Genomic DNA, 27459 nt, shown 5'->3' with positions numbered 1-27459 from the left:
CTCTTCAGCTCCTGTGGTGACCTGGGAATCTATCTGTGAGGTGGAGGGCCTGTTAGCAAGACTCCATATCACTTTGCTGAGAGGTTTTTTTCCTTTTTTCCTTTTCACCCAGTAAATTCCTCTCTAATCACCCTTCAACATGTCTGTGCACCCAATCCTTCCTGGTCATGTGACAAGAACTTGTTTTTTTCTACATTTTTGGTGGCCTGTATGGGGACATGGGAAAAGGTTAGTAACATGCAAACCAAAAACTGTTTCTTCCTTTCACTTCTAAGCCTTTTTGTCCTCAGACTTCTTCTGAGGGTAGAGAAAATTATACCTCTCCCATTCATGTTGCTCCTGGGGGTCGGTAATGTCACCTTTTTCCTTCTTTTTTGGGGATGGACGGGCGAACCGGCAGCTCCCCAGCTCCCCTCTTAAGTTTGTCTCCCAGTTGGAGGAGCCCATTGGCATAAGAATAAGAGGTTCTTCCCCCAGGCATCTTTCCAGCCCTTCACTTTAAAGTTTTTTTCCTTTTCTCTACCCTGTCAGCAGTTAACACAGCCCTGTACTTTAAGCTTTCTTTCTTTCTCTACCAGGTGATGAGTTAACTTTTAAGTGAGGTGTTTTTTTTTCTTTTCAAAATGTTTTACTAGGCCAGTAATGATAAAGTTCACTGTTTATATTCTCTGTAAAGTTTTAATTATGAAAAAGGATTTGTGAGGGTGGTCTTGAGCTATAGCCAATCTGGTGTGCTTTGTGTGTCTTTCTATATGGTACATAGCAAACTTTGTGGCAGTCCTCCATCTTGTTTTACCTCCTTGGGAGCATGACCTGTAACCACATAGCAATGCTTTGTTTAGCCTCTGCCATTTTACAGTGGTGGCCCCGATTCAATCCTGGCTTAGGGAATGAGTCCTTTCTAGTTTGATATCTTTGCATCCTTTGCTATTTGTTGACTCTCTTTCCCTCCACTAATCCTTGGATTTTCCTTTCTCTGAGCCTTAATAAGGTTTGAAAGCCAGAGATATTGGCCACTTGGCATGGCTAAAATTGGATAATAAGGGAGTTAAAATGATTTTCTTAAAGAGTGCTCAGCTTAATTAAAGTGGATATCCAAGTTATAGGTATATTTAAAAGGCCTTTATGTTTTTCTTTTCTTGGACCTTGTTTTGCTAGAAAAAGGTGTTTTCTCAGTTGATTGAATTATTTTTCTCCATTTTGCCTTGCCACTCTTAATGCACACATGAGAGTGGGGAGACCTCTGTTTTCCTCATGGAACCCCAGGAATTAAAAGCAGATAGATCCTTCTCAAAATCTGTTTTTGCCCCACCTATGTCTGTTTACTAGGCCTTAGAAGCTACAAGTTTTCTGAGCCCTGTCTTTTAAAGGACTCCACCTGGAGGCCAATAATCCAATTAGGAGATTGGCAAACAAAAAATCTTACGGCAACTGGGTTTTCTTCTACCTGTCTGTGTAGCTATATATGTGTTGTATGTGTGGTGTCTATGAAAAGAGTTCTAATTAATTGGCCTAAAGGAAGATAAGCGCTTGGATCAAATATTTTTTTAAAGGGAATATAAAGCTCTGGTACCTTTTAGTTCACATGACTGTAATCTTTGAGAAATAAAAACAGCCTTAAAGATTATTGGTAAAGTGCAGATATTGTCAAAATATTAATAGGTGAACTAAATTATGCAGGTCAGATACTAGGTTTGCTAAATGTTTTAAGGTTATAACTGATTTTTTGTTTTTTGAGAACTATTTAAGTAGCCTGCTTCACAACTGATAAGGCCTGGGGACATATGGAACTAACCACACCCTTAATTATGCTGGAAGGAGTCAAACTTGGCTGCACCTAGCACATAATTAAAACAACTTACCAGGTTTTACATTAAAGTTAAAAATTTCTAGGAGCTACCATTATAACATGTAATTGAAACTGCTAGAAATAAATTTACATGCAAGGTGTGTAAGAACAGTAAAATATGTTTTTAATACAATATTATAAGAAGGTGTGGAAATGTAAATTCTTGCCTAGGGTTAAAGGATTGTTTTGAGTTAGATAAGATAAAGATAAAAGGTCAAACATGTTGTGAAAGGATTGTAACAATTAATATTGCCAAAGAAATTCTGTGTGTGAACTTACGGACTAAATTCAAAAGGATATTATATGGTTTTTCTGTAAATTGAGCATTGAAATAAAAGCACAACAAGATACTCTTAAGGCACTAATCTGCTCTTTAGCAAAATTTGTAAAGGATTGTAGAAGGTTTTTGCTTTTTCAAATTTCTTTTTTTATTTTTATTTTTACTTATTTATTTTTTTTAATTTAATATTATTATACTTTAAATTTTAGGGTACATGTGCACATTGTGCAGGTTAGTTACATATGTATACATGTGCCATGCTGGTGCGCTGCACCCACTAACTCGTCATCTAGCATTAGGTATATCTCCCAGTGCTATCCCTCCCCCCTCCCCCCACCCCACAACAGTCCCCAGAGTGTGATATTCCCCTTCCTGTGTCCATGTGATCTCATTGTTCAATTCCCACCTATGAGTGAGAATATGCGGTGTTTGGTTTTTTGTTCTTGCGATAGTTTAAAAAATTAATGTTCCATGGATGAAATTGGAACATTAATTTTTTAAAAAAAGAAATGAATTTGGTCAAATATATCTTCCAAACTCTATGCAGTTCTTTAGTAAGAAAATGAGGAATGTACAAGGCACAAGAATCCTTCCATATGGACACTACATCCCAGTGAGTTTCAGGCAGGAGATCTGGTCACTGGCTTGGACTCCTAGTGTAGATCTCTGGGCTAGACTGTGGCAATGGTCCTTTAACTGTTCTGGCTTTCTCTGCCCTATCCGGTCATCAAAACCCAGGGGGCCTTTCCTTGCTTGGCAAATAGTGGACGTGATAGGTGTTAGTTTCTCTTAGCCTTCCTGAACTAATCCAGGCCTCCTTTCCCATTTCATGTCTCCTGCCTCCTAAAGTACAGCTTCTGTGCTAACCATGCCACATTTCTCACCCGTCCAAGACTTCTCAACTGGGAGGCACTTCTACATCTCTTTGATCTCGGTTCAGAATTATGTGTACCACTATCTGGTAGCTGACAGAGGGCAGGGACCATATGGGAGATTCCCTGTCTTCCCAAGCCCCTACCACAGTGTCAGACCCTGGTTTGGTGGGCGAATAGGAAAGGGAGCAGGGTAAGGATCAATTTAATATTGTGATTTAGTGCTACAGTAGCCCAGATAAATTTCTCCTTTGAGCTGCCTTAGCATCACACATTTTACATTTCCAAATAGCTCATGTAATGTTGCGTGACCCTGGGAGTGAATGCCTCCTTAAATGTGCCCTGGGCACTCCACTTGCTACATCTTAGTTCCAGCCTTGGTTGCCAATTCTCTTTTTATGTGGGATCTCAGGCAAGCTGGGCCATCTCTAAGTTGTGTTCCTGGGCCTCTGCAATAAGAAACATCCTGGTTCAAGTCAACCAGAGAGCCCCCTGGCTCCATGCAATTTATGCCATCTTGTCCATCTTTTAAAACTGGTATCCAGTTTGATGAACTGTGTTCATCTTTTTAAACTGGTTTACATGAGACCCTAGAACTGGCCTAGCCAGCCCAAGTAAAGAGCCTTGGGCACTAAGTCTTTCCATTCTGAAGCAGTTACTACTGCCCAAGCAATCTTAGGGTAGCTTAAATCAAAAGCACAGGCTGTAGGCACGGAACTTTAAAATGTTTTTATAGGAGAAAATGTCTTCACCTAAAGATTGTGAGCAAGCCATGTTTTTGCCCTCTGGTCATTTTTGGGTTTTTTTTTTTTTCAGCATTTGTGTAATTATTTGTGGCTTCAGTTGCTATGAAAAAAAAACACCACTTACCATGACAACTATAACAATTTTGTCTCAATAATATGAAGCTTCAAAAATACTGAAATATGTAGGACTCTAATATCCCTCCTTTTTTAAAAAATCAACAAAATGTTCTTCTCTTTAGAAAAGCCACCTCACTATTCTCCACTTTCTCTGTGTTGCTTGTCACAGATAGCCAGAAGACTTCAACAAGGAATACCCAAGGGCTAAAATCAAATGAAATTTTCATAAAAAGCCAGGTCATTAAAAACCAAAGAATGACAAAATAGAGATTTATCATGGACATATTCTGAAGATGTGTGCAGGTTCTTTTACATACAACTTTTCATTTTATCACGATTTTACCTCATTTTACAGAAGAGAAGAACACTCAGAAGTTCAATCACTCGTCCAAAGAGGCAGGGCAAACCCAGGGCAGATCTGCTTGAGTGATCATTCTCTTCCGGCTTATCACAGCATTGTTTATTTAAGCAGTCTGGTCACCTAATTATTATAATCAAGCGAAAACTGAGCGTTCAGAATGATCTTTTTCAAATAGAAAACTAAGAGCTTTTGTTAAAAAATAAAATTGATCCAGTTACTAGTCTTCCTGTAGGTATACCTTTGGAACAACTAAAATCCCCTCTCACCTGGCTCCCTCTGCCCTAAGTCAGTTCAGAAATTGCAGGGTTAGGGAGGCAGGGAACCCCTGCTGCAACCCACAAGAATGGCTATCAAAAGGACAAATAATAACAAGTGTTGATGAGGATGTGGAGATATTAGACCTCTCACACACTGCTAGTGGATATGTAAAATGATGCAGCTGCTGTGGAAAACAGTCTGGTGGTTCCTGAAAAGGTTAAACACACAGATACCATAAGACCCAGCAATTCCATTCCTAGGTATATGACAAAGAAAATTTAAAAATTTACATCCAAAGAAATACTTGCACATGAATGCTCCTAATTCATATTATTCATAATAGCCAATAAGTGGAAACAACCCAAATGTCCATCAACTGAAGAATGGATAAACAAAATATGGTATATCCTTACAATAGAATACTATTCAGCCATAAAAATGAAGTACCGATTGATGCTACAATATGAATAAACCTTGACAGCATATGCTAAGTGAAATAAACCAGTCACAAAAACACAAATACTGTATGATTAGCTTATCTGAGGTTCCTAGATTAGTCACATTCAAATAGACTGAAGGTAGAATGGTAGTGGCCAAGGGCTGGGCAAGGGAGGAATGGGGAGTTAGTGTTTAATGGGGACAGAATTTCAGTTTTGCAAGATATAAAGACTTCTGGAGATTGATTGCAAAACAATGTGAATGTACTTACCACTATTGAAGTGTACACTTAAAAATGATTAAGATGGTAAATTTCATGTGATATGTTTTTACCATAATAAAAGAATAGCTTCTATTTATACGAAATGTCCAGAATGGGCAAATCCAGAGAGATAGAAAGTATATTAGTGGTTGCCAGGAGCTGGGAGGAGGGAGACTGGGAAGTGACTACTAATGCATGGGGTTTCTCTTGGTGGTGATGAATATGTTCTGGAATTACGTAATGGTGGTATTTGCACAACCTTGTGAATACATTGAAAAAACACTGAATTGTATGCTTTAAAAGGGTAAATTTTATCTCAAAATTTTGATACAAGACAATAAAAGAATCTAGAAGTAGGAGCTGGAGTGTACGCCAGAGATGAAAGGAAAAGGAAAGATAGGAAATTGATGATTATGAGAAACTATGCAAAAGCTACACATTGGCTTCCCTGCTCACAAACGTCTCATTGTCTGCAGGTGCAGACAGTCATGCACCACAGTTAGCTCAAACCAAGAGTGGGCTTCGTGGCTGGAGATAAAATAAGCAAAATACATATCCATTATGATTATTTTAAACATGACACAAGATTGCCGTGAAACCCAGTTGATAACTACTCCTAATGGCTGGTCAGTGGCTAACTAACTTGAAGATACAAAAAATAATTATAATATGAATAGATACTAATATTCTATTTGAATACAGCCTAATGGCACTTATATGTCCTAATTCCATGCTTTTCTAATAATATCTGCCTCATTCTCACTACTGATGTTGGATAATAGAAATCTCTGTGGACAGCTAATAGGATACTAGTGTAAATTAACAATAGCCGTCATTTAATTAAGCTATTTGAGAAAGTCTGGTTCCTACTGGACTTGCTAGAAGTACATCAAACCTCTTGATTTATAACAGTGTAGGGCATGAGTTCCTGGCTGCCCCATAAGGAAGGAAACTGCCAGAAGCCCTTTAGAATGAAGAAAAGTGAGAAGATTCTTGGAAAGTGGACTGAGCTTTTAACTCTGCAAGGGACCCTCAGCCCTCTTGGCATACTGAAGTGAACACTCTGCAGCTAAGCACCACTGAATCCAGCAGGTAAGCCTCCCCTCAGGTTCATCTTGCAAGATTGGCTTCTTTGCTTTTCCTTTTTCAGGTAAGTTATTCTATTCCTGGCAATGAATAAAATGACCAAGGTGAATGCATACAGAATGAAGCTAAAGTCATGCTAGAGATAGTGTCAAATTTAAGTAGATCATAGTACAGAATGAAGAGCTCAGAGACCCAGCAAGACCCAGCTATGCATGGGATTATAGGATACAATAAATATGGCATCACAGGTTATGGAAAAGCATGGATCAGTTAGTAGACAGTGCTGGGAAAATTGTCTTATTATGTGCAGAACAATCAAACTAGGTTCCTCTCTAACAACCTATATGAAGGTGGATTCCAGATGATTTCAAGGATAATCATGGGCCGGGCATGGTGGCTCATGCCTGTAATCCCAGCACTTTGGGAGGCTGAGGTGGGTGACCTCCTCACCTGAGGTCAGGAGTTCGAGACCAGCCTGGCCAACATAGTGAAACCCCATCTCTACTAAATATACAAAAATTAGCTGGGCATGGTGGCGTGCACCTGTAGTCCCAGCCACTTGGGAGGCTGAGGCAGGAAAATCACTTGAACCCGAGAGGTGGAGGTTGCAGTGAGCCCAGATAGTGCCACTGCATTCCAGCCAGGGAGACAGGGCAAGACTCCATCTCAAAACAAGCAAACAAACCAAGAATAATTATGAAAGGAAAAAATGGTAGCAACAAAAAAGAAATTGTAAAATATTGTTTTTGTCTTGGAATGGGAAAGGATTTCTTAAGACTCCAAAACCCAAAATGTGAAGTCAATGTTAATTGATTTGATTGCATTACAATTAAGGATTTCTGTTCATGAAGGACACTACGAACAAAATTCAAGATGGATGGCAGGATGGGAGAAAATATTTGCAATATCTAAAACCAAGAGGAACTAACTTTAAGCTAGATAAGACACTTGTAAAAAGCAACACAAAAAAAGAAAGCATAATAGAAAAATGATTAAAGTATAAAGGAGCAGTGATACGGTTTGGCTCTGTGTCCCTACCCAAATCTTATCTCAACCTGTAATCCCCACGTGTGGAGGGAGGTGACTGGATTGTGAGGGCGTTTTCCCCCATGCTGTTCTCGTGATAGTGAGTGAGTTCTCACAATATCTGATGGTTTTATAAGGGGATCTTCTCCCTTCACTGGGCACTTCTTCCTGCCACCTTGTGAAGAAGGTGCCTTGCTTCCCCTTCCCCTGATTGTAAGTTTCCTGAGGCCTCCCAAGCCATGAGGACTGTGAGTCAATTAAACCTCTTTTGTTTATAAATTACCCAGTCTTGGGTAGTATTTTGATAGCAGTGTGAAAATGGAAAATACAAGCAGGTAATTTATAAAGGAGTTAACCCAAAAAGCAAACACACATATGAGGAGATGCTCCAATTCATTATAATCAGAGAAATGTAAATTAAAGCAACTATGTAATATGATCTTATACCTTCTGGACAGGAAAAATTAGAAAGCTGGAGATTACCAAGTATTGACAGAGCTGAGGTATTATAGGAATTCTCATGCTTTGCTGTGGGAACATAGACAGGGCCAGCCAATTGCAAAGAAATCAAGCAAATACTGCTCAGTTCAATTAAGTATACACAGTCTCCATGGTCCAGCAATTTTGCCTTTGTATGTATGCATATATGTATGTACATGTGTATGTACATATAGGGGTATGTGTATATATATATAATATTAACTAATAGACACATGTTGATAGCAGCATTATTCATAATAGCCAAAAAGTGAAAACAAGCCAAATGTTCATCAACTGATGATAAATAAAATACACCCATATAACAAAATGTAATTTGGCAATAAAAAGAAATAAAGTGGCGGGTGCAGTGGCTCATGCCTGTAATCCCAGCACTTTGGGAGGATGAGGCGGGTGGATCACGAGGTCAGGAGTTCAAGACCAGCCTGTCCAAGACGGTGAAACCCTGTCTCTACTAAAAATACAAAAATTAGCCGGGCATGGTGGTGGGCACCTGTAATCCCAGCTACTCAGGAGGCTGAGCCAGGAGAATCACTTGAACCCGGGAGGCAGAGGTTGCAGTGAGCTGAGATTGCACCACTGCACTCCAGCCTGAGCGACAGAGAAAGACTCTGTCTCAAAAAAAAACAAAAAAAGAGAGAAAGAAAGAAATGAAATATTGATATAGGCTATAACATGAATGAACCTTGAAAAGGTTCATTATACTCAGCGAAATAAGCCAGACACAAATGGACACATGTTATATGATTCCACATAGATGAGATATCTAGAGTAGGCAAATCCATAAGGACAGAAAGTAGATTCATGGTTGCCAGGTGCTGGAAGTTGGGGACATGGAACTTCGCTAACAATAGATTTGTTATTGCTTTTTTGGATGATAAAAATATTCTAAACTTAGACTACAGTAAAATTGCAAAACTCTGTGAGTATACTAAAACCATTGAATTGTATACCTCAAATGGGTGAATTTTATAGTATGTGAATTATAATACAATAAAATTGTTATAAAAAAGGAATGAATGAATGAATGCATGGAATAGATAAATAAAAACTTAAACAGGGTTTGCATGGACTTATGATGAGAATGTGCCCATAACAAAAGAGTGTGATTAATTCAATCCTCTGCTCCAGTGGTACCTGCCTCTTTTTTTCTGACTTTGCTGATCTTCCTGGACATTGTAGATTTCTTAAACATAGGATATTCTTTTTTGACTTTCTCCTGCTCACCTTGTCCCAAGTCCTCAGCTCTTCACATTCTGGGCCTGGGTTGGGCCTTGGTCTGAACCATGCTTCAGATGTTGTAGGCTAAGCAGAGCCTGGTGCAGATAGAGGACATGGTAGACAACTTCTGACATGGCTCTCAGTGATTTCTGCCTCCTAGAATTCATGACCTTGGGTTATCCCTTCCCCCTTAAGTGTGGGCTGGACTTAGTAACTTCCTTCTATCCAATAGAATATGGCAAAAGTGATGGGATGACAATTTTATGATAAGATTACAAAAGATTGAATTTCATCTTGCTATCTCTCTCTCTCTCTGTGTCTCTCTGTCTCTTTTATTGTTACTCTCTCTTGCTCTGTAGCTTGCTTGCTGTTATGTTGTAAGATAATTTATGGAGAGGCATACATGGCAAAAAGAAACACAAGAAGTGCCTCTGATCAACAGGTCATGAGGAACCAAGGCCTCAAACTAAAAACCTTTAAGGAACTGAATTTTGCCATGTATCATGTAAGTTATCCCAAAATTGAGTCTTCAGATGAAACTGCAGCCTTAGCTGACACCTCGATTGCAGCCTTGTTAGAGATTCTAAAATCAGAGAACCCATCTAAATCACACCAGAACATCTGACCCATGGAAACTGTGAGATAATAAATACGTGTTAAGACATTAAGTTTTGGGGTAATTGGTTATGCCACAGTAGAGTGGTAGACAACAAATACAGAGGTCAAAGCGTGTTAAATATGCTCCTTTTCTGTCACCAGAACTTTGGAACTAAGCTTCTCTTGCAGTTGGATGGGGTTAAGTGCCTGGCCCATAACAATCTCTCAATTTGGTGATTTGTTTTTACAGTTCCAAACCCACCCTTGGACTGGGCATGGTGGCTCATGCCTGTAATCCCAGCATTTTGTGAGGCTGAGACAAGAGAATTGCTTGAACCCAGGAGTTAGAGACTAGTCTGGGCAACATAGTAAGACCCCATCTCTACAAAATTAAATTTAAAAAAAATAGCTAGGCATAGTGACATGTGCCTGTAGTCTCACCCTCCCTGAGGTGGGAGGATTGCCTAAGCCCGGGAGATTAAGGCTGCATTAAGCCATAATCGTGCCACTGCACACCAGCCTGGGCAACAGAGCAAGACCCTGTCTCAAAAACAAAAACAAAAAAACACCCTTGGCTTCCCGGTACCCTCAGAGTAAAATCCGAAATAAGTCTTTACTGTAGCCTACAAAACCTTACATGATCTGGTCCCTGATACCGTTCTGGACTCATCCTACTCTCCCTTCACCCTCTCTGCCCCAGACACACTGGTATCCTTTCTGGTCATTGAAACAAGTATGTTTTCACTTTGGTGGCTTCACCTTTTGGTTTCTCATTGGAAAGGTAATCCCTGCAAGATGTTTAAATAACTCACCACCTCACTTCTTGCAGGTCTCTGATAAAATACTATCTCCTTAAAGAGGCCTTTTCCAATAACCACTACAGTAAGCTCCAATTCTCAATCTCAATTCGCTTCTCTGATTTTATTTTTCATGATAGAATGTATCACTACCTAAAATTGTATGTACTTACTTGTGTATTTGTTCTGTCTCCTCCCTATAGAAAGTCAGTTCCATGAGGGCAGGGGCTTTCTTTTGTTCACTGTTATATCTCCAGTGCCTAGAACCGTGCCTGGAACTTATGGCCAGATCAGGGAGGAGGGGGTATTGGGAGAGATGACAAGTCACTTCCCAGAGACATTGTATTGTGAAGCAGAAAGGGGCAAAAAGCACCCAGAGAGAAACAGTTGCACATTCAGGGAGCTGCACACCTGTCCGCATCACCAGGGATTCTTGGGATTCTTGGGGGATGCCAGAACATGTAGCACAAGGGCAGACAATTCTCAGTATATCTCTCACCTTAACTGTATAACTAGTTCTATAAAAAGGTATTTTAGATGGTTGCTCAATAGGCTTATCTTCATATGCGGCTAGAAAATTTACTCTTTATGAGGGCTGCTTTTTCTAAGTTTTCTTTATTTGCATTTTGTTCTTTCATGACTAATTATCATGTATAATTTAACTGCATGGTTTAATTAATTGTCAAAATGCAAAAGTGCAAAATTTTATGTAGAAATAATTACTGACACAGGCAAACACTTGTTACTTTAGAACGAACAGCCGGTAGCTAATTTTGCTCACAATTACCTAGTTGTAGGTTTAGCAACATCTGAATTTGTTATATCTTCAAAAGAGATTCCATCTTTTTTAATTAATTTTTTTTCTACATTTGAAAGAAGAGTACATATAAGCAAAAGGTTAAAACATGATTTTGTAAAACACGGAGAGGAATACTATGTAGAGTAAAATCTAATTAGAACACTAATTAATGAGAACAGATAAAGTAAAGTTTAGGACTGTGTTTATTGTTGCAGTTAACAGATTCTATAATATTGACAAAATTCAATGGGCGATCGCAAACATTTATGAAAAGCAAAAAACAGAAAAAAAAAGTGAAGTAAATGAATGCATTGTCCGGTGGTTCTATATATCATGAAGGCATAAATGAGGAAGGACCAAAACAAAGACAGGTTAGCAAAGGGAGCTAAGGAAAACTGTGGAACTCAAGTAAGAATTTGGAAGCCCTAGGGATGCAATGTTGAGGGAAATAAAATATCTTGATTCTCTGTGGTATAGTTACACGTTGAATGACTAATTCTATTAGAAGGCCAGTCAGTTCTTGGAAAACAGTATGGACACATGTGAGCACAGCCTTTGACACAGCGACCTCCTTTCTGATCATAATCTCCAAAGCGGGGGAGAACCTACACATAAAGCTACTTGTTATAGTTTTACACACCATATGAATTATTCTGGGACTGAATAGAGCATAGTAAAATGAATATTATAAAATAAAGAGATGACTTTATGGAGATTTTAACAAATGAGGAAAATTAAAAGGCTGCCTCATTCACTATCACGTTTGTGTTTTTGTCAGAAAGCAGTTAAAAGCCAATTTAAAACTTTATGTCATTTTTCATGCTGAATTTTCTACTTTGATGTAAGAGGAACAAGAGTTATTAAACACCTTGGTTGGAGAAAAGACATATTTTTGGCAGTTTTTTTCTCATGGTGATTTTGCTGCTTATGGTCAATAAACTTGTTAATCAGCATTAATTCAGCTATATAGTTTCAAATATTCTGAATGAAATTAAATCAAATATATTTGTTAATATTTGATTTTTAAGATAGCATGCAGATGATCCTTTTAAATTCTACTATATTTTATACAAATCATATATTCGGGGCATAGCATACCTGCTAAATAAAAGTCCAATTTAAAAAAAAAGTTATATATACATTACCTATATCTATTAGCAGCTGAAAAGCAACTATATCACTATCAATAAATTTGTGCTCGTGCATTATTTGCTGAATATTTGTGAAGCTGAAGCTGAGTCCTTTCTCCACTAGATTATTATTATAATTTTTTTTTTTTTTTTTTTTTGGTGAGACGGAGTCTCACTCTGTCTCCCAGGCTGGAGTGCAGTGGCGTGATCTCAGCTCACTGCAACCTCAACCGCCTGGGTTCAAGCCATTCTCCCTCAGCCTCCTGAGTAGCTGGGATTACAGGCATCCACCACCACACCCAGCTAATTTTTATATTTTTAGTAGAGACAGGGTTCCACCATGTTGGCCAGGCTGGTCTCGAGCTCCTGACCTCAAGTGATCCACCCACCTCGGCCTCCCAAAGTGCTAGGATTACAGGCGTGAGCCACCGCGCACAGCCTCCACTAAATTATTCTTAACCAGAGGAATTAAGCTAGTGTCTTTACTTCTCAATTTAATTCTATAAAAACACTTTGAATATCTACTATATACAAAACAATATATTTTATTAGCAGCATTTCATCAGAAATATTTCAGCAGCAACATTTCAGAGCTATGTGATGAAAGAAGTTCGTGGTTTGGACTGGGGAAGTTGGTGTTTACACGTTAATCAAATGAAATGCACCATTGTTTTTTCTTCTTTTCTTTTTCTTTTTTTTTTTTTTGTTGTTGTTGAGAGAGGCTCTCACTCTGTTGCACAGGCTGGTATGCAATGGCATAATCATGGCTCACTGCAGCCTTGACCTCCTAGGCTCAGGTGATCCTCCCACCTCAGCCTCCCAAGTAGCTGGGATTACAGGCATGTGCCACCACGCCGGACTACTTTTTGTATTCTTTGTAGAGATGGGGTTTCGTCATGTTGCCCAGGCTGGTCTCAAACTCCTGGGCTCAAGCGATCTGCCAGCCTCGGCCTCCGAGAGTGCTGAGATTACAGGGGCAAGTCACTGCACCTGGCCAAACTGCACCATTCTTTAACTATCTTTTTTTCTACCTTCCAGTTTCGAGTCAGAAGAAGCTTTATTTATTTTTTATTGTATAGTATTATTATTATTATTGAGACAGTTTCGTTCTTGTTGCCCAGGCTGGAGTGCAATGGCACGATCTCGGCTCACTGCAACCTCCTCCACCTCCTGAGTTCAAGTGATTCTTCTGCCTTATCCTCCCAAGCAGCTGGGATTACAGTCAACCGCCACCACACCTGGCTAATTTTTGTATTTTTAGTAAAGACAGCGTTTCCCCATGTTGGCCAGGCTGGTCTCAAACTCCAGACCTCAGGTGATCAGCCCACCTTGGCCTCCCAAAGTGCTGGGATTACAGGCGTGAGCCACTGCTCCTGGCCTATTTATTTATTTTTAAAATGGGGTCTGATTCTGTTTCCCAGGCTGGAATGCAGTGGTGCAATCATAGAAAGAAGCTTTTGTGAAAAGGAGGGTGCATCATTGTTTTCAGATTATTGATATAACTGTGTTCTTTCTGTGTCTATATCTCAGCTTCATTTAAATCCCACTCAAGCTTCACCTCCTTAATTAAACTCTGACTCATTTTGCCTAGCCCTGATTTTTGCCCTTCTCTAGCTACCTTTAATATCAATCCTGTGTTGGATATCTTTTTTGTATTGAATTATCTATTTGTGGTTATAAACATTCTCTAAGACTTACTTCTCTAGCCAGATTGTAATTTTGTTTTGCAAGAAATGGGGATAAGGCCTGCTATTTTTCAATGCTATCCTACTGTTGGGCATGCTGTGAGAATATCAGTAAATGTGGATGGATTGCTCGATAATGCTGCAGTATAATCTGCAAATAAACTCTAGGCAATTGATGTACATATTAACTCCCTAAAATTCTGGAAAACCTATAATCAGTTGTTCAAAAATGTAGTCAAGTCTCAGAAATCCTAGAAGAGGCTAAGAGTTGTTCTAAAACATTCAGAAATTAAGTTTAAAGAGTATTTCAAAAGACAGGCATTTGTGTTATTTCCATTCGAATGAAATACTTTTGTTATTTCATTTACCAACACATATGAAGATGGGAAAACACTTACCAGAAGTCTGTGCCAAGGAAGAGATGCGAATGATATGCAAACAGGATGCTACTCACCTGAAATGGATGAGGTAAATTTACCTTAGGACCAGGTCTCCTTGGTTCACCTGTTTCTTGCCTACCTCACCTCCTTAAACTTATTCACACACATTACTTAGCAAAGATTACCTTGCTAGCTCCCAAATGTGAAACTTCAGCCTTTCTTAGCCTGATTTATCATTACTTCAGAATTTTAAAATTAAGAATCTGTCATGTTTGACCAGGGAGGAAACTCACGGCTGGTCAAGCCAAAACAAAACAAAAAAATCTCCCGGGGAGCTTGACTTAGTGGTTCTCCCCTGAAGGAAAATGACCAAGCCCTGCCTAATGTCAGCCTCAGGGAAAGCCTTCAGAACCAGGAAGAAGGATTTACAAATTCTTAAAATTGCTTTTTTGTTTATACTTTAATTTTGAAGACTCGACAATTACTTTAAATTCTGCTCAGTGCCTTAACCAGAGTGTTTCCATATTGAAAGCATTAAGTGGAATGACTTCTGGCTGGAAAACACAAACAAATTTTAGTTATCTCAATCACTAAGAACCAGAGAGCAAGGCCCACCCTGCCTGGCAAACAAGGGATTAGCTTCGTGGCTCTTGGGGCTAGGAGAAAATAGTTAATGAACTGGCTAATATTCACTGTCTGCTGAGTAATTTGCTGACTCCTCAAGCCCCACATCCATGTTGTGAGAAGAGGAAACTCTCAGTGATGTTCTTTCAGTATTTCTGAACCCCTCCAGTAATAAATCACTTAATAATCTACCAGAGAGAGAATATCCGATATTAACATGCATCTCAAAAGCTACAAGCTGCCCTGTGCATGCAAGCAATAGGGCCCTAAAAACAGTGCCTTAACAAAAATGTTCAAGACTTAACAAAATGTTTGAGCCCGATTTCCTAAAACCTCCTGGCTTTACATTGAATAGGATGCAATCAACTTTGCCTTACAGGAAATGGAGTTTTGTGTCCTTCACTTACCTGAATGCAGTATTTATTCACACCTAATACTTGAAAATGGGTTAATATGCAACATTGGACTGGGGGACTGGATAATGTTTAGCGTCAGGCACAAGAGTAGAAAATGATTCCCTCTGAATGTTTTCAAATTATATACTTCCCTACTGATGTGGTAAAATAAGCTCTAATTTAGATAGCCCCTCTGGATAATGTTGCATGTTGGTTTGTTGTTGAACATCCACATATCTCTTTCAACTCTAATTATTTGTTTATTTGAACTAGTCTTAGCTCTGGTAAATGGTAAAATGTGAAGGGTTAATTTCAGCAGATGTTTGAAGCCAGCTCTGTCTAAAGCTCTGTAGGGAGCCTCTACACAAGAGCCGTGTGTAGGGTGAGGGGGAAGGGGCTAGAGGTCAGGGTCATAGGTAAATCAACACCAGTTTCCAAGGAATGAAAGCAGAAGTAAATCAGAGACCTGGAAGGGTCTGGTCCTGGGAAATGAGAAAGAAAGATGTTATATGAGGAGTTACAAGGTTGGAATAGAACACAGAGGGAGGAGATGATGCATGAAGATAAAGACTGGGTAGCTGAGGGCAAAGAGATGCTAAAACAACAACTTACTGAATGGAAGGGCCAGAACAGGGCTAGATCAAGCCTGATGATTAGTTGGTGCCTTCTATAAGAATGAGGTGCAGGAAGTAGGATGTGTGTACTATTTCTCTGCTAGTTATTGCTACCCAGACACTGTCAACCTACCATTTTGGAAATGCATCTCCTTAATCACAAAAAGAATGTAGAGAGAGAATATGTAAGGTTGAATTACCTACCTCCATCCACATGGCTGGACAGACAGCACCTACTGCCTATGATTCAGCAGCAACTTGATGTATGAAGAGCCTTTTGAGCATTCATTTCCATTCTTATCTCCTATGGAACAACTCAAAAGGGACCCTTGCCCCTTTGTTCATTTCAAAATAGATTAATCTGCATCTGAGAGAAGTATCTAACAAATAGGAACAGATGATCTATCGGCTGATTCGTGAGCTATTAAGGCAGCCAGTACCACATAAATACAAAGACTATTCAAAGGAAGGTAATATCTCTGTACAAAATGGTCCCTACCAATTAAAACTTCGGAAAGTTGTCTTTGTCCCCATGTGGAACAGTATAGTTGTTAAATAGGTGCTACTCCATTATGTTGAACTTTAAATTGAATATTCAAAATATTTACATAGTACTTCTTCAAACTAGATTGAAAATTTCAAAACCATATATATTTAAATTACACTGTCATTGTGTGAAATTAGAGGACATGGACAAAATGTTATGTTTGTTGGAGACTAAGTGACCCTTTCATTAGAACTTAGCAATTTCGAAGGACCAGTTAATCAACAGAGAGGTCTCTGGAGGTATCATTTGTGCTTTTTACCAATATTACGTCAGCATTGTATTGGCAATGGTGTGAAGAGTACACATTGTGCTTTTTGAAAACAGAGACTGATAGGAATTATTTTCCTTATAAATAATGCATGAGAAAGAAAACAGTCTGTTTCACTATTATTTTTCAAGTACTTTATTCTAATCATTTTGGAACAATTGAACATACATCATCTTGTCTCTTTTTATGATTATAAGAGCAATACATACTTATTGTAGAAAAACAAAAAGTTTGAAAAACAAGTTTCAAAAAAATCTCATTAAGCAGAGGTAATCGTCAATACTATCTTGGCATATTCCCTTTTATTTATATTTGTTTTACATGATTGAGGCCATATCGTACATACAATTTTATCTTCTGATTTTAGAAGTTACCATTATAATAAAGTTCTTCTTCATATTATTAAATAAAATTATACAACCTGATTTTAATGGCTGCATAATAACAAGTTGTGTGGAGATTCAATAATTTATGTTAAAATAGCTCTACTATTGTACATTTAAGTTGTTTCTGCATCTTCTCTCAAACGCAGATCAATCTATTTTGAAATGAACAAAAGGGCAAGGGTCCTTTTTGAGTTGTTCCACAGGAGATGAGAATGGAAATGAATGCTCAAAAGGCCCTAAATACATCAAATTAATGCTGAATCACAGGCAGTAGGTGCTGTTTGTCCAGCCATGTGAATGGAATAGGTAAACCTTGTATATTCACTCCCTACGTTCTTTTTATGATTAAGGATGATGTGTTAACCATCTTTGTGCATAAAACTATTGCTTTAGAATAGTGTCAAAGAAATGGTATGCATAATACTATTTCCTTAGAGTCAAAAAATGGAATTATTAAGTCAAGAAAAGTCTTATGGTCCTTAATACACATTGCCAAATTGTTTAACTGAAAATGGCTAAAAAAATTACTTTTCAAATTAAAAAGCAGGTGATTTCTCTCAGCTGTCATGCATTATTTGAAAATAATGACAATTACCTGTTTGTTTGCTATATTAAAAAACAATATATTTGCTATATTAAAAAAAAAATTGGCCGGGCACAGTGGCTCACGCCTGTAATCCCAGCACTTTGGGATGCGGCGGTGGGTGGATCACCAGGTCAAGAGATTGAGATCATACTAGCCAACATGGTGAAACCCTGTCTCTACAAAAGATACAAAAATTAGCTGGGCATGGTGGCATGAGCCTGTAGTCCCAGCTACTCAGGAGGCTGAGGCAGGAGAATCACTTGAACCCGGGAGGCGGAGGTTGCAGTGAGCTGAGATAGCACCACTACACTCCACCCTGGCAACAGAGCGAGACTCCATCTCAAAAAACAAAACAACAACAACAAAAAAACAATTAAGTGCCTTCTATAGCCAATCATTTCCATTAGGCACCGGATTTAATTCATGGTACAAGCCCCTGTGAGCTAACTATCTACAAAGTTTTTGTGGAAAAGATGCAGTCCAGCATAGTTTTTGATAGAAAAGAGAGTAGAATTGAAAAAGAAATTGTCAAGAAAAACCTGGAGATATTTGTAATTTTATCTGAAAAGTTCTTATTTTTGATATGCAGTAGAACAGATCCTAGCTTGGGAGGAAAGAGTCACAGATTAGTTACTAATTACTATGGAAACTCACGCTGGTCTCTAAATTTCTTTGGACTTCAAATTTCCAAATCTGTAAAATAAGACATTAGGTCAGAATCCTACTTCACTTAAAAATACCATATTGGGTTATATTTTCATGTGGAATCTTTCAGACATTATTATGATACAAAAAACACCATTGTCTCATGCCTGCTAATAAACCAGAAATACAGTCTGGGAGACCTCGGATTAGATATAGGAGAGACACTTTTACATATGATGAGCATGATATAGTAAGAAAATGATATTGACTCACCCAGAAATAACAGTGATATTACTATGCCCATCTTACAGTTTATTTTTACATTTTAAGGATTTAACTCTCCTTTTATCTGGATTCAAAATAACCACCTAGTTGACCATACCTGTGTTAGGAACTATGATATTTATAGAATCTGAAGATAAGATATTCCAACACAAACCCTTTAAAAATGATTTTTGCGGAATAAGTTGATTGATTACAGAAGTTATCCATATGGATAATTTAGAGTTTGACTATGAAGACTGGAGAAAACAAACACCATTTAGTAAATTCTACAACTTTTTATATTAACATTTCTGATCAAGTCAGCGCATTTCTTTGTTATGAAATGAATTTAGGATCTACTACTTAAAAAAAAGACAGAAGGTTCCCTTTTCCCTGATATTTTAATACTGTATTAAATTTGTCATAATCACTCTCTTGAAAAATATCACCTTCACTTGACTCCTAATATTTTCCTCAGAATCAATCAGACACGGAAGTTCAAAAGTAACGTTGAATTCTTCATTTTTAGCAATCTGTAAGAATTACATTAGCCTTCCTATGAAGAAGCTTCTTTGCAGCTAGTAAAATAGCTGAAATAGAAGAAACAGAACGGAATCAAAATCTAACTTTGAGAGTCTGTAAATGACCACAAAAATAAGATTAGAGACCAAAAAGACCTCAGACTTTTCAATTTCATAGCTTCATCAATTTTAACACATGTATTGATATATCCAAAGGTGGACGTGGAGATTATTTTATTTCTATAACTAGAGAGTGTAGAGCTCCGAATACAGTCTAATTGGTATATTCTAAAGTACTGGATTTATTATTTGGATGCTGGGTCTCTCCATGGCTCCGACAATTTTGTATTTATCTCAATTTTAAACAAATCAATTTCCATTTCTAGGTATCATTTTTCTGATTGTGCCAGAGGATAGTAAAACGTGGCACTTTTCTACTTTAAAAATTACTTTTCACAACGACTAAATTCTTCAGTTTAAGTTATTGTCTGACCAAGTTTTAAATATAACTTAACTTTAAAAGGGGCCATATTTACTTACAATGTAACTTTGGTTTTACATTTTAGTCCCAGACTACCTGATATCAAATAGCCAGTAACCTAACACATATAAAAGTATTTCTATTAATAGAATTCTGAATGTCTCTGAGCACTGAGGTATCTTGGTAAGCATCTACTTTCAACTCCTTTTACAGAAGGGACTTCAGGAGCAAAGAGGGCATGAGACATGCCCCAGGTGACACAGGGATTTTTTGCTAAAACTAAGCTACATGTCTACTGATTCACAACCTAGTACTCTTCTCATTGCACTATACTGCCTTGCAGGGTTTTTTAAACATTAGAAATCCCTATGCTGGGATATTTTAAACTTTGGTCAAGCCAATACATTAGAATCACTTTATACAGGAAGCCAGATACTTTTATTACTATTAGCCAAATATTTTATAGAACAACAGGTCTGGAACAGAAATGTAAGAACAAAAGTTTAAAAGTTAAATGTCTAGTAATACCCCACAAGCACTGGCAACCAAAACCAAAGTGAACAAATGAGATCACATCGAGTTAAAAAGATTTTGCACAGCAAAGGAAACAATCAACAAAATGAAGATACAACCCGCAGAATGGGAGAAAATATTTGCAAACTACCCCTCTGAGGACGAGGGATTAATAATCAGAATAGATAAGGAGCTCAGACAACTCTATAGGAAAATTATCTCATAATCCAACAGAAAATGGACAAAATATTTTAATAAACATTTCTCAAAAGAAGACACACAAATGGCAAACAGGCACATGAAAAGGTGCTCAACGTCATTGATCATCAGAGAAATGCAAATCAGAACTATAATGAGATATCTTCTCACCCCAGCTAAAATGGCTTATCCAGAAGACAGGCAACAACAAATGCTGGTGCAGATACAGAGCAAAGAAAACCCTCATACACTGTTGGTGGGAATGTAAGTTAGTACAATCACTAAGGAGAACAGTTTGGAGGCTCCTCAAAATACTAAAAATAGAGCAACTATACGATCCACCAATTCCACTGCAATTTCATGGACAGTGGGCCAAGAATTATGAGATATTTAAGGAAAGTTGCTTACATGAAACACAAGACCAAAAGTAAACATAGTAACCAACAAAAACAGGAAAGTTGAATGAAACAGAGACACAGCAGGGAACAAAATAAAACTTCAAAGAAATCTACAAATGATGTCATCAAAGACACAAGACAATATTCAGGTCTAATTTAGGACAAGGAGGGCATAAAAAGGGGCATTTAGAAACCAAGAATAATATCTTGGACATTCAAAATATGAAGGGAGAGGGGGAGAGCCAAGATGGCCAACTAGATGCAGCCAGAAAGAGTTTCTCTCACTGAGAGAGATCAGACCGTCAAGTAGACCAGCACACTCCAAACAGATCTTCAGAAAGAAGGCATTGAGAGTGGACAGAGGAAAGACGCAGACCCCCGGCTGAAAGAGAAGGAAGCTGGGAACCCTGCACAGGGTTGCCAAGAAGCAGTATTTAGTTCCTGCCCCTGAGCAACTCTTAGGGAAGGGGTGAGTGAAATGGGCATGGAGTAGCCCAATTTTGCCACGGACCTCTGAGATTCTAGCTGCAGGAGACCCCACAACCACCATGGACATCTGAACTGGCAGGGAGAACTTCCTGGAGAATTGGCAGAGACACAACTCTAGCCTGCATGGAGCCCAGAGGGTTTGGCGCAGGAGCGGCTGCAGTGGAGCATGGCCGTGGACGCCCACTCCTCAAGACTCTCCATACTCCTCTAGGTGGCTCTAGCCTTTGTTAGCTGCTGGACCTGGACAGAGCAAGGCTGTCTTAGCCGTGGGATGGGGCCAGTATGATCTGAGTGCCCCCTGTCTGCCGACATCTACCAAGGTCCCTGCCTAGCCACAGCCGTTTGCAGCGCAGCCTCAGCTTCCCAGCGGCCACTGCCATAGTTCTTTTGCTGGCAGATCCTGCCCAACTGTGAGAGAACTTTTGCAGACGGACCCCCACCACCTTGCACCTGCAGCCTTGCCTCACCACCACGCAGTCACCTGCAGCCTCCCACACTGTCCCGCCTACACACGTACATGGGGACCTCTGCCACCCTGCATATGCTCACACACGGGGGCCTCTGCTGCCCTGCTGGAGCACTTTTGCCAGCAGCCCCCATCACAGTGTTGTTGCCATGGACACAACACAAACACTCTGGCCCCTCCATCACAGCGGGTGCTTAACCTCAAGGGGCCAGAGAACAAAGTTGCAAGCCTGGTCCCAGTCCCCCAGGGTCACAGCATGTAGCCCAGGAGTGCTGAGCTGACCCTTGGCCTTCTGAAAGCAACCTCGCAAGAAGCAGAGCCAGCCTCTTAAGTGGAAATTTGCCTCCAGTGCTCAGTCCCGACTCAATCCTTATCCTCCTTGTCTGATTAACTGTGGACCTGTCAGTCTGACCCCAATCCCGCAACACCCACCTCCCTCGCTTGCCACACACCACCTCCTCCCTCCTTCCCTCCCCACCATCCTAGAACATGCAGACACTCAAATCATTTTACAACAGGTTCATTTTATTTTCATCACCATGAGGGGTACCCTGTTGTGTGTAAAATGTACCATAGACCCTTTTGGCTATTTCTCTGGGGTTAGACCTATGGAGACCTCTCAGATAGATCTAGTCCTTTGAACTTGCCCTGAAATTACTGGCTGTCCAGGGAGACGCTGGAGATGGTGGAAGTCTCCTCACTTTCCTGGTCCTGCTGTGGCTCCTTTTGATTGAGTTCCTCGTTCAGCTGGTCAGAGTGGCTGGATAGCGTTGGCCCTCTCCCTTCCTCAGGTTTTCTTGAAGCGGCGGTCTTTCGGGAGTGGCTTTTTTCCTGGAACTCCCTCAAAGACTCTCTTTTCCCTTCCGGGTTGTCTTGGGAATCTGGAAGGACAACAGGGAGATCACAGAAGGGCATTGGTTTGGGGGAAGAGGATGGGGGAGGGGTGGGAACAGGGGCTTCATGAGAAGGGTACAGGCTGAGGTGGGGGTTGTGCCAGGCGAGGACAGGGTAAGGCGTCTTGGGAGGGAGGAGTAGAGGGGAAGGCAGGGAGGAATCAAGGGGAAGACAAGGAGGAGCCTGGGTGCGCCACTCACCTTCAGAGGGCTTCTGAATCTTGGTTGAGAGGGGGCCTTCCTCTTCTTCGCCTCTTTGGTGTTGTGGGTGGTTGTCCCTCGACAACTGGGTTGGAGGCTTGTGCTTTACTGGCCATCTTCACCACATCAGCATCTCCCAACTGTCTTCTCTGGGTCACCTGGCCTCCCTATATATAACCCTTCCAGGACAATGATGAGCCACACCCCTAAGCTTTGATTGGCCAGCAAGCCATTACCCAGCCAATGGTAGGCCTGCAGGGAGGGGCTTAGACATCACAAAACCCCATCAGGACATTGTCATAGGGAAGTAGAGAGTAGGGGGAGGGGCCAGGCATGGGGAAGAGGAGGGGACAAGGGGAGGAGTGGGGAGTCTTATGAGGAGGCCAGGCTGGTTGAAACAAAAAAGGGGCATTTCTTTAGCACTCCTAAAAACTTTCCCAAACTGACCTAGCACCCTCCTCATCTTCTCATGTCAGTTCTGGTGAGTCACATGGCAAGGATAGGGTGTGTCTTCCAAAGCCTTTCTCTACTGCCAACCCATTCAGTGGTACATTCTGTTTTCTTCCACCTTTAACCATTATCTAGTTGTTGCATGTCTTACCTACAATCTATTCATGGTAAAAATTTATGCTAATATGTCATGGCCATATTTAAGTGTCTGTGGAGATGTCAATCATCCAGTTCCCACCTACAAATCCTCTAAGCATTTTGAAAACCATTAACTTCTTGGCTTACTACCAAGAAACTTTTTTATTCCACGTACCTTTTCTAGTGTCCATTTAGCTCTCCTCAGTTTTCTATTCTCCAGTCTGAAACCACCGCCTTCAGACTATGAAGACTTCAGTGAAGGGCTGTACATGGTGGCTCATGCCTGTAATTCCAGCACTTTGGGAGGCTGAGGCAGGAGGATTGCTTGAGTCAAGGAGTTCAAGACCAGCCTTGACAACATAGCAAGACCCATCTCCACAAAATAAATTAGTTGGGCATAGTAGTGCGTGCCTGTAGTGCCAGCTACTTGGGACACTGAGGTGGGAGGATCACTTGAACTCAGGAAGTCGAGGCTGCAGTGAGCCATGAACATGCCACTGCACTCCAGCCTGGGTGACAGAGCAAGACCCTGTGAAAGAAAGATGAGAGAAAGAGAGAAAGAACGAAAGAGTGAAAGAAGACAAAGAAAGAAAGAAAGAAAGAAAGAAAGAAAGAAAGAGAGAAAGAGAAAGAAAGAGAAAGAAAAGAAAAGAGAGGGGAGAGGAGGGGAGGGGAGGGACTTCCTTGAATAGACTTGCTCTTCTGGGTATCCTATCCTTGTTTCAACTCTGCTTATCTCAACAGGTATAATACTCTGGCTTGAGTTTTAACAGTGTTAGGGGGATGAGGCAGATTTATACATGCTCCAAGTTGTGCTGGGTGTTTGCATGAAGAAAATCACAACCTCAAACTGATGAATGCATAGAGGAAGGAGCTTGGCTTAACCAGAGTCATGCCCACCTTATGTGAAAAGCTCTTTTCAAAATGTGCCCTCATCCACCAGATAATTTTCTTATCTTATTTTATTGTTTTCTGTTAACATCCTACTTCCCTTTCTTCTCCTGAGGTCTTCTGAAGAAATAGAGCTTACCTTAAGGGGAAACACTCATAGAATTATTTTTCATGAACAATTATAACAAGCTTCCAACTTCTTGGAGGAGACACTGTGTGATCAATTTCAGTTCATTTACCTCCCTAAGTACAGGACCTCTCATTCAGGTTTTTGTCCCTGGAAGAAAGGGATGATAGAGTTACGCACAGGCTGAAGTGACTGCGTTAATATACAAAATCTAATGAAATTAAGGGAAGATTATACTAATATAATTAATATAATATAGGAATATGTCAATATAAGGATAATGACATATAATAAAGAGGTCATCTAGACATGATGTTTCCCAACCCCCAATCTAACAACAGAAGGCAGCCCATTCCTCCCTAGGATTAAATGGGAGCTCAATCAACAACACTAGGGAGGTTAGCAGCATCAGCAGATGGGATTAATCCAAAGCTTCTTTGACAATTTGTGGCCAAGAGAAATGTTCTTCTTCACCATTGTGCATAAGACTCACCCTCTCCCTAGAGACTCTAGGAGACATTTGGGTGGAGACACAGAGCCAAACTCCTGATTTGAAATCACTAAAAATTAAGCTGTGCTTTTCCTAAGTCCCTGTAAACTGAAGCTAGACAACTTAAACTTCAGATGAAAATAACAATAACCTATTTATGTATATAAACCACTTTCATACCTGCCTACTGATGTATGGATTTCAGAGCAATATGGCTTACAGTCATTTTCTAGGATTGTTCTTTTTCATTTGATTGTTGCTTCCCTTATCTTTTCCTCCCCTCATTTTTTCTTTGTAGGACTTGAGACTTCATCATCTGCCAAAAATGAGCTTTCCTAACAACATGGGACCTATTTGTCTAAAAATAAACTGTCCTAGCCACAAGAGATGAGACAAAACCCAAGACCACAGACTCATTTTCTTCTAAAATGCTCTGTCTGAAAGATTTTAAGAAGAAAACGGGAGAGAAATATAAAAAGAAAATAAAAACTTGGGACCCCAATTCACTATGCCAAAAGGGAAAAAATTAAGCTGAAAGCTGAGTAATGCAAGAAGCTGCCTTTCTTTTTGTTCCTAAGCAAATAGCTACAGATAAAAGGTTTAGTATCTCCACAGGTAGCTACTCTAGGTTCACTTTATCTTATGTAAAGTGCTGATTTGCAGAGCATGAGATGAATACATAGTTGACCCTTCCCCTAACCGCTCCTTTTCTCTTGCAATATGTGGATTCAGTAATGTGACCATACCCTACCTCTTTCCCCTCCAGCCTGCTTTTCCCCATTAAATATTGAAGCCCTCAAAATAATACTTGGAGAAAGGCATAGACATATCACCCAGGTGGGTCCTTAACCTTTGCAAAATAAACTTCTAAATTGATTGAGACCTGTCTCAGATACTTTTTGGTTTACAATATAATATGAAAAGTATTCTTTAATCTGCATGCATGGAAAACTATTCATACTGGAAAATAAAATGTTACCTAACATATTTTAATTAAAAAAAAATTGCAACCACCTCAAAATTGAAGAAGTAAAAACTCACAAACAACAGATCAAAGAGGCAATAAATGAAATATTATAGACTATAAAATAATGAAAAGCAATACAGTGAATATCAAGTCTATGAAATGTATCTAAAGTATTCAGAGGTAAATAGATACCTTTTAATATTTTTATCATTTAAAAAGTGAAAAAATGCCAATATCTTGGAAAAAAAATATTAAAGCCTGAGGACCATTGTTGGGAGTGATGGGATGATAACAGTCCTATCAGATAATGAGGTAGTATGATATATGTTATAAGCACTGGCCTTAAAACCAGGTGACTTGCATCCATTTCTCAACCCTACCACATTCATAGTAGTATGAAGTTGGGCAAGATATTGAACTTGGATATTTAATTTTCTCATCTGGAAAATATCAGCTTGGCAAATATTTTCTTTTTCTTTTTCTTTTTTTTTTTTTTTTGAGATAGAGTCTCACTCTGTCACCCAGGGTGGAGTGCAGTGGTGCAATCTCAGCTCACTGCAAGCTCCGCCTCCCGGGTTCACGCCATTCTCCTTCCTCAGCCTCCCGAGTAGCTGGGACTACGCCCAGCTAATTTTTTTGTATTTTTAGTAGATACGGGGTTTCACCGTGTTGGTGATGGTCTCGATCTCCCGACCTCGTGATCTGCCTGCCTCGGCCTCCTAAAGTGCTGGGATTACAGGCGTGAGCCACCGTGCCCAGCCAAATATTTTCTGTAAAGGGCCAGGTAGTAAATATTTTAAACTTTGCAAGCTACATTAAATCGTCTCTTTCACAACTACTCAACTCTACCATCAAAGCACAAAAGCATTCATAAACAATATGTAAATATCAAGTGTGGCTATGTTCCATGTGTCCCACTAAAACCTTACAAAAACAGGCAACTGGAAGCAGAATTTGGTCCCAGGTCAGCTGTGGTTATTTGGCTCCTAAATCACAGTGTTTTTCATAATAATTGACTAAAATAAAGTCTGTAAAATACTGTACAGGTAAAATCAGGGTAGTGTAGACAATACATACACACACACACACACACACACACACACATCCATATATATATAATCATTGCATTCCGGACTAAATCCCACTTGTCATGTTATATAACCCTTTTAATATGTTGGCAGATTTGGTTTGCTATCATTTTGTTGAGGATTTTTGTGTCAATATTCATTAGGAATTTTTCTTTTTTTTTTTTTGAGACAGAAGTCTCGCTCTGTCGCCCAGGCTGGAGTGCAGTGGCGCGAACTCGGCTCACTGCAAGCTCCGCCTCCCGGGTTCACACCATTCTCCTGCCTCAGCCTCCCGAGTAGCTGGGACTACAGGCGCCCACCACCACGCCCGACTAATTTTTTGTATTTTTAGTAGAGACGGGGTTTCACCGTGGTCTCGATCTCCTGACCTCGTGATCTGCCCGCCTCGGCCTCCCAAAGTGCTGGGATTACAAGCGT

At 39.7% G+C, this 27459-nt stretch overlaps 2 long non-coding RNA genes across 2 annotated transcripts; one reads left to right on the top strand and one right to left on the bottom strand.

The window, feature by feature from the left end:
• LOC105373367 (uncharacterized) lies at positions 1-25867 on the top strand. Its single transcript, NR_188661.1, has 3 exons — positions 1-228; positions 6096-6275; positions 25286-25867. It is a non-coding gene; the product is annotated as an uncharacterized LOC105373367 (long non-coding RNA).
• Positions 22310-23021, bottom strand: LOC105377213 (uncharacterized). The gene is made up of 2 exons (NR_135614.1): positions 22892-23021; positions 22310-22678 (listed from the first exon to the last, which is right to left on the bottom strand). It is a non-coding gene; the product is annotated as an uncharacterized LOC105377213 (long non-coding RNA).
• Positions 25868-27459: the final 1592 nt, after the last annotated feature.

This window comes from Homo sapiens, chromosome X (genome assembly GCF_000001405.40).
Source record: "Homo sapiens chromosome X, GRCh38.p14 Primary Assembly".
Classification (NCBI taxonomy): Eukaryota; Metazoa; Chordata; class Mammalia; order Primates; family Hominidae; genus Homo; species Homo sapiens.
Note: the sequence above shows the minus strand (reverse complement) of the source record. Positions and strands in the feature narration are given on the sequence as shown.